Below are 12,052 nucleotides of genomic sequence, written 5' to 3' on the forward strand. Positions count from 1 at the left end.
TGTGTTGGGCCTGCTAGGGGAAGATAAGACTATACGTTGAAGGGGCTGTAGAATTTGACCAGTACTTCCTGGCAGGAACTGGAAATATTGTAGAGAACTAGATCTTGAGGGTTGTAGGTCAAGCGAGATGGAATATAGGGTTGGATAAGAGAGAGTTTATTGATATGAGTGTACTCTCCTATAGTATTAAAGGACTTAACACCCTAGAAAGGCCCTTAGAGGTGGTGCTAACAGTGGTTAGAGTGGCTCTTGAAAGCTTAGAAAGAGTGATGGCACACACTAAGTGAAGTGAAAATGCCAGAATCGATATGGCCATATGACTATAGAATAAGTGAACAAAAGGCTCAGAAAAAAGAACATTCTAGAGTGGATTTATTAGTAAAGCTGGAAAACTCTCCAGTCAGATCAATTTCTCAGAAGGTCCCAGAAGATACTCTAAGCAGTGTGCATTAGAATACTGAATTAGGGTACTGAGAGATCACTTCCTAGCAGGGTGCTGTAAAACATAGAGCATGTGGTGACTGTGGAGAGGGCCACAGTGAGGTGGCCACTAGGCTAGGGTAAGGAATGTGGGCTTGCAAGGACCTACAAGCTCTGGACAAGCAGCTGCAGTGGAGCACCACTGGATTTTTTCCATGTCTACTTCTGGAAGCGCTGTGGTAGGAGCAGGAAGACTACAACACAGCAGCACCCCAGAAGCAATATCCCTCCACACCCTCTACTGATAAAGCTTATATCATAATGCTCACTGTGAAGGAGAAATATCTGGAGGACTGGCTCCATTATTACACAGGAGATAATGCATAATCGATTATGAGATAAGCAATAAATTAATGTCATTGTTTATTCTTTTGACAACTCAGATTCCATACACCCTTTTACACACATTTCAACTTTCATACAACAAGTAAATAACTCTGTATTTCCACCCTTATAAGATACAACTATCCTTCTTGCTGGTGAGGAATTCTCACTTTTCCCAACAGTAAGGAGATGTATATAGTTCCAACAGTCATTGTATCCATTGCTGGCTATGTCAATGACTCCCAAATTTCACTGTAGTCCCATTGAATGTTCTGTTACCTAAAGAGTAAAATTTAAAGTTAACCCACAACAGCTTGCAAGTAAAATGAAAACAAATGGGTAAAGAAGAGAGAATAAAATGATTAGCATACAAATGAATGCATATAACAAGTAAAGATAAAACACAAAATTACTACAGTTCTTATTACTTTAATTGGTTACAGGATTTGGTTGATATTTAATTAGTCCTTCTTTCAATACCACTTTTATATTTCCCCATCTCAGCCAGAATCTCAGCTAGTTGGAGTTATTTACCTGGTGGAGTGACCGAAATGTTAATTTCCAAGGGATCTAAGTTGTCAATTAACCTGCCCTTTTTTTTTGTTGCTGTAGTTTTCATTAACTTTTTTTTAAATTGAATATGGAAGTATAAAGAGGCACTCCGAAGAGTCCACTGTGTTCCAAACAAAATCTCCTTTGTCCTTGCTGTGCAGCAGTAACTCAATTTCCTCTTGGTATTCTGGATCAGTAACTCCAACAAGTAGAGTAATTTCTTTTTTCCTTGTTTGTTCAAGTGGCATAAGGAGCCCAAAATGGCCGTGTGAAAGTCTCATCTTCCAATTCAGTAGAAATACCATTGTGTCTCCCAGTGGAAATCTTACCTCCTTGGATACAAAGACCTCTAAACTCATAGAGCAAAAATTCTGTGAGTGAGTTATTAAGCAATCATAGTGAGAAGAGGCACCCTTACACCTTGAATCCTGGAGCCATGCATTGTGGCTATGGGGGAAACAGTATCATACACTGGTCTGTGATTTGAAGAACATACTGCATCCTATACACAAAATATTATAATTTTAGGGTGTTGTTTCTCAACCTGTTTAGTAATTGAGTTGTACATAAGCAATTCAACATTTCAGTGAGCCCAGTTGCTTCCAGGTGATGTGATATGTAGGAAAATCAGTTATGCCATAGATGTAAGTCCATTGCTGCACTTACTTTGCTGCGAAATGAGTTCCTTCATCAGACTCAGTGCTACGCAGAATTCCTTGACAGTAGATAAAGCTTTCTCTAAGCCTATGGGTGATGATACTAACAGAAGCATTACGTGTAGAGAAATCAATTACAGACCATATGTAATTTTGTGCCGTTTATGATATAAAAGATCAAATGTAATCAACCTGCCATCAGTTTGCTGGATGGTTACCCTGGGGAATGGTGCCGTATTAGGAGCTCAATTTTGGTCTTTGCTATTGGCAAATTAGTCAGTAGCATTAAGCAGGTTAGTCTTAGTAAGGAGAAATCTATGTTGTTTAGTCCCTCTGGCCTTGCCACTATGGCTATTTTATTGTCCCATTGAACAAGAGCTAGTATGACTAGAAAGAGGTTAATGAATATCATTAGAGCATGCCATTTTATCCACATCATTCTTAAGAGCTTCTACAGTGGATGCCCTTTGTTTGGTTTCACACAAAACACAAATATCTCCTGTCTGTGCCATTATGAGAGGTCCATTGACATAGTTCTTTCCTAGACCTCTTGTCACCAACTTTCCAATCCTGTTTCTTTTTAAATCCCTGACCATCTAGCCAAACTTAGCAACTGCCCAAGAGTTAGTGTGCATTTACAATTTGGCCCGTCTTTCACTCCAAGCATAGCAGGCAACCAAATGTACTACTCAAAGTACTGCCCATTGTGACAAGGAGATTCTCCTTCAGCACCACCCTTCTGAGCCATGCCTAGGTGAGGCTATAGTGATGCAGCTGTCCTCTTTTTGTTAGTACCATCATATCTTACAGACCCATCTGGCTTGACATTCTTCTTCCTCAGTAAATTGGATAATAAAAAATATTTCCAGAGGCCATAGGCATTGATCGAAATACAGAAGGCAATGCAACAAGAGTTGGTGTTAAATTAGTGTGACCAGTTTGCTTACTCTTACTTTTAAGACCTGCCTGAGCTCAGTCTTTTGTACGCCATTTTAGTTTCATGATAGATTGTTGCTGATGACATCTACTCTTATGAATACATATGGCAAACAATACCCAGTTTATAAGGATAAGCTTGGATTCCATGGTCAATTAATATCTCATGTTTAGGCATTCAGTTTCTACCAAGGCCCAACAACAAGTCAGAAGCTGTTTTTGTTTGTTTGTTTGTTTGTTTTTTGAAAGGAGAAAAGTTATTTGAAGGAGAGAGCAGAGATGTGCTCTCAAGTCTTAGAAATATCTGTTGTTTTTCTCCTACTAGAAGCTCCAAACAGCATCCCCATTTGTCACGGTCACTTCAAGTATCATTGGACTTGTTGGATCATAAGGACCAAGTAGTAGCTTGCCTTGTACTGCAGCCTAAACTTGCTTCTCTTGCTATGGTCCCTACTTGAAAGTGGCAACCTTACAGGTGACTCTGAGTATGAGTTGAAGTAGCACACTGAAATGTGGTATAACTTGCCTTCCAAATACCAGAAGGCTTACTAAACAAAGTGCTTCTTTTTCATCGTAGGTGACGTGGAGTGAATCAGCTCTTCTTTCATCTTGGAAGTAATATCTTGACATGCTGCAAACCAATGAACCATCAGAAACTTCACCGAGGTTTCAAACACTTGTATGTTGTGGAGTTTATCTCCTACCCTTTATTTTGCATATGTCATACTAAAGTATCTAGAGTACTTGCTAATCAGATCTAATGAGCATAATGTCATTGATATAGTGGACAAGTATGATATTTTATGGAATAAGATAGCCATGGTCTCTGCAGGCTACAATAACCCTTAGAGAAGAACTGATGGAACCCCGATGCAGGATTGTAAGAGAATACTGATTGTCCTCCCAGGTAAAAGCAAAGGTCATCGAGTGTTCCTTACAAATTGGTTGCATAAAAAAGCATTATTCAGATCAATAGCTGCATACCAAGTGCCAGAATTAATGTTGATTTGTTCTAGAAAAGATAATATATCTAGAATAGCAGCAGCAATTACAGCCACCATCTGATTAAGTTAACAATAGTCTCTGGTCATTCTCCAAGATCGACCTGACTTTATTAGAGGCTTAATTGGTGAGATAAATGGGGATGTGATAGGTATCACCACCTCTGCTATATTTAAATCTTTGATAGTAGCATTAATCTTGGCAATTTTTCTAGGGATGAGATATTGCTTGTAGTTTACTATCTTGATAGTGAAGAAATGTTCCAGGGGCTTTCATTTAGTCCTGACATAATCACCCTCACCCTATGGTCAGAGAGCCAATGTGGGTACAAACTGAGCCAGTTGTGATACTATTTATTATTTGATCACTGTAAGCCCCACTTTGACTATCAGGCCATACTGGCATTTTGGGTCCCCAGGAATTGTCATTAATTCAGATGACTATCCAATAATTTCCCCCAAAGGTTTGAGTATTTCCTTCTCTCCAGCACATTCTCACTCTAATTAGTGGCCACAGGATTCTGTTTACACCCCTTCAATTAAGGGCTGCTGAGTCTGTGAATTGACTAAGGTCTGGAAACTCAGGGAGAGGCCATGACTCTTCAATGTGGGGACTCAAGTTTTTTGCTCTAGATTTAGAGTTTATTTGATCAGTCAAGAAACACTTTAGTAGGCTATGTATCTATTTAATTCCCTGGAAACCATGATCAGTTAACCTACTGACAGATATTCTTGTGTGTCCAAGCATTTTGATTATTGGTACCTCTCTGATATCTATTATGATAAATATTACCACCTTCCCTTTCAGGCTAAGTGCTGCCACTTGGTCTAACACCTTTAGAATTCACTCCTGAGCATGTTCCCTGAGTTTCTTTACATATGCAGTAGCAAAGTCTTGCAATTCTTTTGGTTTGTAAGCTACAATGTCATGAGTTATAGTGTGTCCCGGCCCCTTGGAGCATGGTGAAATTTCACCCTAGTTATGGGTCTAGTGGCGACAAAGTGTGGTTATGGTAAGTCTTGAGAGAAATGAGCATCCATTTTCAAGGCTCTTGCCCCAGGTGAGGTTATCACAGGATTTCCAAGCAAGGTAGGCAACAAAGAGGAACCTAATTCTCTAGATAAGGAAGACTCAAAATCACATGGGAATTCCCAATTTTCAGCTTTCTCTGGATCCAACCAGATGCCGACATTCTAAGTTTAAGGATTTCATCATTTTCTAATCAATGTCTTCAACTTCACATTGGGAAACTTGACAAGACTGTGGATTTAACTTTTGGAATTCAGCAGTCCATGCAACTAAATGGTTGCTTTTTATTTTCAGCAATATTAGCACTGTGGCTACAAGAAAAAGGAAATCCTTTCAAAGCTGTCACGGAAGTTCTCTAGTTCTCAGATAGTCACTTAAGCTAAAAGTTGAAGAATCTGAGCATGTCATTTTCTTTTTTGTAAGTACTCAAGTGCATTTAAAAAATCAATCTCAAATCATAGTCCTTGTAGTCATCATTAGCCATAAAAGTAAAGTGCAGCAACCACTTTGGATCCTATGGTGCTTGTTTCAGTTGGCTCTTCGTCACAGTAAACCACAAGTTACAGCTTGATTAGTTACTATATCACTTTATACCATGGATTCCTAGTATCCTATTCCCCATAGTCAAGGAGCTCAGCCCTGCACTTCAACCCATGTGCATGATCTAAACAATACAAGAAGGCCTACCAAACAAAATGCCTCTTTTTTATGGTAGGTGACATGGAGTGAATCAACTCTTCTTTCATCTTGGAAGTAATATCTTGACAATTTCTGAATCCCATCTTTGTGAAACTAGTTCCACTACCAATTCTTTATCAGTTGACTTTCAGTTAGGAGACAGTAATCATACAGGAAAAGTTTAATATAGAGGATTATTCACTATAACAGAGGAGTAACTATGAGACGCTATAAATACATAAAAAGAACTCTAAAGAATACCCTAGGTCTGAGGGAGAGTACCTGAAGAAGACAAAATTTGGAAGGGAAGCCCCCTCCCTAAGCTGAGATTTAGACCTCTTTTGAGGTACAGTTTCAATTCATTTGTTGGAGAAGATCTCTGAGCCACTCCAGTATAGCAGTCACCCCATGTCTACAGGGCATACTTTCCAAGACACCCAGTGGATACCCGAAACAGAAGGTAGTACCAGACCTGACTGCTGTCAATCCAAACATGTTTCTGTTCATGTTTTCCACTCACAGATTTAATGCCTTTTCCTTGGTAATTTAGTACTTAACATGCACTGTAGCTATAACTTTTGCAGTTTGAGGTGGGATAGCAACTAGCATGAGTTTCTTTTTCCTTCTTCCCAATTTCATGAATAGAAGATTTGTTCTTACCATACATCTTAGCAACCTCAACCTATAATTTTTTCTCATCTCTTATCAAGTTGAGAACTTTCACTTTTTCATACAAAGGAAGCATTTTACTGCTTCTCTTTGGCACATCTGAATTGCTAGTAACACTACTTTTGTACCCTGGGGCCATTGTAACACTACAACCTATAATTTTTTTATTTCTTATCAAGTTGAGAACTTTCACTTTTTCAAAAAAAGGAAGCATTTTACTGCTTCCCTTTGGCATATCTGAATTGCTAGTAACATGACATTTGTGCTCTGGGCCCATCTAAGTAAAATAAGGGTGGCTAGAACACAAGCACTGCAATACTGAGACAGTTGATCTAATAACTGAGATGGCTCCTAAGCAACGAAAGGCGGGTGGCGTGTACAGCGTGGACATGCTGGAAAAAGGAGTGATTCATGTCCCGGGTGGGACAGAGCAGGACAGCACAAGATTTCATCACACTTCTCAGAACAGCATGTGATTTAAAATTTATGAATTATTTCTGGAACTTTCCATTTAATGTTTTCAGAACACAGTTGAGCACTGAATTCCTGGAAAGTGGAAACACAGATGAAGCCAAGGGTGGGGACTACTGTACTAGGCAAGCAGAAGACAGCCTCTGGGGTGGGTCTGGCTAAGGCTGTTGGTGGGGCTGGGCAGACAGGAGTTGAGTGCAAGCTCACTCACGGGCAAGGCAACCTGAGGCCTGGGATGCATGTTGCCTACATTGAAAGGGCCATGGCAAGGGGGTCGACTGGTCAGGGTCAGGGCTGCAAACTGGCCGAAGGACTGAAAGCTCCAAGAAAGTGTATGTGCTAAAGATGCTCTGGAAGTTGGCAGCAGACAGTTCAAGAAAGACAATGTAGGACACACAGGGTGTTGCACTGCTACTGACCTCTACCAGTGGTGAGACCCTCATGCCATTCACAGTTGTAGGAGAGTGAGTCAGATTGGTTGAACTTAAGATTCCTTTTCTTGGTGAGAAGATTACTTGTTCACTCAAAGGCTGCACATAACATGGGATTACTGAGATATCAGGTGCTAATAGGACTGAGGGATTAGATGGTAGACTGTCAAAAATTGACAGAGGTTCCTCAAACAGTTCCTGTTCATGATACCCCTTTTTGGGTGACTGAGAGATAAAGATTCCAGGTCTTGTTCCTTTAAGTTAAGGTATGCTATATGTGTGAAAGATCAGTTGAGTTTAAACAATTTCTAATCCTTCATTCAGCCAATCAATCAGTCATCTATTCACCAAACATGCATCAAATGTACATAAAGTGCAAAATCCCATTCTGGATCAATTAAATGCCCCTGCCACGCATTCATGCCTTCTCCTTTCATCCCTCTCATTCCTGCTCTTAGACTTTTAAGAATTTATATAATGGAGCCCCCAAATCCTCAGTTATTCAATCCCTCATGTATGTCATTAAAGTTTTTTCCACCAACATCTTCCCCTCAGCCTTCCCTCCTGTTTCCCAGCCTTGGTCATTTGAGCATTGGTTTGAGTCTCCATCCCAGGAAGGACAGGGAAGGAAAATGAGGTCAACCTGGACACATCTCATCTCCAAGACTATGTTTAACAGCTCTGGCAGGAGATTTTAACACAGGAAATTGCATAAAATATGTTTCAGGGATTATTTTTGGATTTCAGTGACCCATGTTCTTCCTGGCACTGATCATCAGAGCTAACTGAAAACTAGTGTTGATTAAAAAAAAAAAAAAAAAAAAAAAAGCCTGTGGGTTAAAACGGTAGCCACAAGCACTCCAGAAGGCAGCCACGGTGTGAAGAAGAGTACAAAGTCTTAATTCAACTTCTGGCTTTCCTTCTTAGTAACTGCGTGAGCTGTTTTATTGCTTTTTGAAACACAGAAACATGCAATGTGCACATACAAATATTCACGTGCATGTACACACGAATACTTTGTAGGTACAAAAGCCATAGAGGGTAGCAGCTAAGGCTGTGGGCTCTGGATGCAGATGGAGCTGGTGTTAAAATCTCGCCCTATCATTTTACTAGTTGTATAACTTTCAGCCACTTACCTTCTTTTAGCATTAATTTCTGCAGGTGCAAAATGGGACTAATTATAGTACTTATTTCATGAGGTTGTTGCAATAATTAAAAGAAATAATGCATGTAAGACTGTTAGTAAATGTTTGGCATGTAAAGAGCACCTAATAATAAGCAGTGGCTACTATTATATACACACACATATACATTATACATACATGCATAAGGCCATTTCAGTCAATGATAAACTGCATATACAATGATGATTCCGTATAATTATAATAGACCTGAAAAATTCCTATAGCCTAGTGACTACATAATATCCATCATAATGCTATTGCACAATGCATCACTCATGTGTTTGTGGTGATGTTGGTGTAAACAAACCTACTGCGCTGCCAGTCACATAAAAGTATAGGCTGGGCATGGTGGTGTAATCTTAGCACTTTGGGAGGTGGAATCAGGAGGATCACATGAGTCAGGAGTTTGACACCAGCTTGGTCAACATACCGAGACTCTATCTCTATCCCCCACAAAAAGAAAAAAGAAAATATAGCACATACAATTATGTACAGTACATGTACTTGATAATGATAATATATGACTATATTACTGGTTTATGTATTTACTATCTTATGCTTTTTCTTGCCGTTTTAGAGTGTGTTCCTTCCATTTATTAAAAACAAAGTTAACTGTAAAGCAGTCTTAGCCATGTCTTTCAAAAGATATTACAGAAGAAAGTATTCTAGTCACAGGAGATGACAGCTCCATGCATGTTACTGCCCCCTGAAGACCTTCCAGTGTGACAAAATGTGGAGATGGAAAATAGTGATATTGATGATCCTGACCCTGTGTATGCCTAGGCTCATGTGTGTGTTTGTATCTTAGTTTACAACAAAAAAATTTAAAAAAGAAAAAGAAAAAAAAACATAAAAGCTTATATAATAAGGATATAGAGAAAGAAAATATTTTGTACAGCTGTAAAATGTATTTGTGTTTAAAGCTATTATTACAAAAGAGTAAAAAAATTATAAAATTAAAAACTTGAAACAGTAAAATGTTACAGTAAGCTAAGGTTAATTTATTATTAAAGAAAGACATTTTTAATAAATTTAATGCCATGTAAGCATATAGCATTTATATGCACATAACTTATTCAATTTCTTTATTTAATTGCATATAATTCTCAAAAGACATTTCCCCCTATGGGACATGAGCTCTAAACAGAAAAAGTCTGCCACTCTAACTTCTAAAATATTGTTTGACTAAGTTATTTTCTAAATTTCTAAAAGAAAAAATCAGAAAATTCACATCAATGCTAGTACCCTCAGCAATACAGAAACAAAGCTAGTGTTTTTTTTTTTTTTTCCCTCGAAAGAAGCTCTCATTTTTCTAATGTTTTCCCTTAGGTACTATGTGCACTACAACTATGGACAGAGTGACTACTGGCAGAAATGAACCCATGTGAGAATTCTGGGATCGAAGAGAACAAGGAGCTAAAGGAAGTCAGTTGGATGATGTAGGAGGGAGGCTCCTGTTTTTCTGACATCACTGCCAGATGAAGCACCAAATAATTAGAAAGCTTTCACTCCATTTGCCTTGGATAGATTTAAAGGCTAGGCACAGTCATTTGTGTTAGTTAAAATCTCTGAAACCTTAAAAATAAATAAATAAATAAATAAAATCAAGTCTGTGGTAGTATACAGCAATGTCCTCGGCCTTCACATTCCCTCACCAGTCACTCACTCACTCACCTAGAGCAACTTCTAGTCCTGACAGCACTGTACATGCCCTGTATAGGTATACCATTTTTATCATTTATACTATATTTTTATTGTATCTTTTAAGTGTTTAGGTTTACAAATACTACTGTGCTACAATTGCCTACAGGATTCAGTACAGTAGCAATCTGCACAGGTTTGTAGCCTAGGAGCCATAGGCTATGCCATATAGCCCAGACGTGCCATAGGCAATATCCTCCAGGCTCTGTAAGTGCATGCTATGATGTTTGCACCACAACAAAATCACCTAACTATGCATTTATCAGAAGGTACTCCTGTCACTAAGCAAAGCATGACTATACCTATAACCTTGAATTACTAGCTGTGTGACCTTTATATACCCCTTAACCTCTCTGAGCTGCCTTTGCAATTTGACATCAATAACCAACTCCAGGTTTGCTGTCAGGATTAAAGAAGAAGAGTAGCTAACATTTACTGAGCTCTTACTACTGTATATAAAAGGTCCTCATACAATATACAGTACTATCAGGTATAAGATATTATTGTGCACAGCAGCTGGTTAAAGGATTCTCAACAGAAGAATGAAATTCACATTCACTTCACAATCACCCTCTGATTAAAATGCCACTTGGGAAGTACAGACCTTTCATTCTGAAATGATCCACATTCCAAACAAAAGGTTAAATAGAAAGTTACCACTTTGACTTCGCAATCAAAGGTAAGTTCAATCTGTCAGCCTGTATTTATGAGGCAGAGAGGGAGCAATGACAATACTCTGAAATGAAGTTCACCTTGTTCAAGAGATGCTTTTCTGTGGAACACTGAAAACCAATACTCTGAAGCCTCTGGCACAGTTGAACTCTCCTTCCAGGTGAAAGAGAGGGCACAGAACCAGTAGGATATATATGTACACACACACACACACACACACACACAGAGAGAGAGAGAGAGAGAGAGAGAGAGAAAGAGGGATTTTAAGGAATCAGCCCCTGGTTTTGGGGCTAGTAAATCTGAAACTTGTAGGGCGGACTAGCAGACTGGTAACTCAGGCAGGATTTCTATGCTGCAGTCTTGAGGCAGAATACCTTCTTTTTCAGGAAACCTCAGTCTTTGCTTCTCCCCACCCCCCCTGCTGAGACGGAGGTTCGCTCTTGTTGCCCAGGCTGGAATGAAATGGCACGATCTCGGCTCACTGCAACCTCCGCCCCTGGGGTTCAAGTGGTTCTCCTGCCTCAGCCTCCCGAGTAGCTGGGATTACAGACATGCATCACCATGCCTGGCTAATTTTGCATTTTTAGTAGAGACGGGGTTTCTCCATGTTGGTCAGGCTGGTCTGGAACTCCCGACCTCAGGTGATCCGCCCGCCTTGGCCTCCCCAGTCTTTGCTCTTAAGGCCTTCAACTGATTGTAGGAGGACCGCTCACACTAAGGAGAGTAATCTGCTTTACTTAAATATTGTAAATGTTAATTACATTCACAAATACCTTCACAGCAACATCTAGACTAGTATTTGACCAAACACCTAGGTACCTTAGCCTCACCAAGTTGACATATAAAGTTAATCATAACAATGAGGGAAAATAATGACTAATTTTGCTTGGGTGGTTAAGAAAACCCATAGAGAGGCAATATATGAGTTTTAGTCTTTAAGAAGTAGGAGGAAGTGGGGCAAGGCTTTTCTCTAAGGAAACAAAATATGCACAAAAACTTCTGTCAGAAGCAGCCACCAACCCACCAAGGCCTGACCAAGAGCGTGTGCTCCAGGAAGAGGCACTTTCTCAGTGCAGCTGAGCAGAGCAGCCCACAGGCCTGGGGAAAAGGAGGCCCGAAAGGCTGCCTGGCACACCTGTTTATGAGCTACCTAGAAGGCTGTTTTCACCAGTTAGAATTTGTTTTACAGACAACTGAAACCCATTTAAAGTATTTAAGCATTAAAATGACATGGTGGAAAAACTAAGTTCTAAAATAATGGTTCTCA

The 12,052-nt window shown here is 39.5% G+C and overlaps 1 long non-coding RNA gene across 2 annotated transcripts in view; it reads right to left on the bottom strand.

The window, feature by feature from the left end:
* Positions 1 to 12,052, bottom strand: part of PDGFDDN (PDGFD downstream neighbor) — a 45,563-nt gene that overhangs the window by 2,905 nt on the left and 30,606 nt on the right. The window contains exon 2 of one of the 2 annotated variants that reach the window (XR_001748348.2): positions 590 to 1,083. This is a non-coding gene — a long non-coding RNA (PDGFD downstream neighbor). Of the gene's footprint in view, positions 1 to 589; positions 1,084 to 12,052 lie in introns of those variants that run through there. The other variant, XR_947960.3, reaches the window with a different exon arrangement.

Source organism: Homo sapiens, chromosome 11 (assembly GCF_000001405.40).
Source record: "Homo sapiens chromosome 11, GRCh38.p14 Primary Assembly".
NCBI lineage: Eukaryota > Metazoa > Chordata > Mammalia > Primates > Hominidae > Homo > Homo sapiens.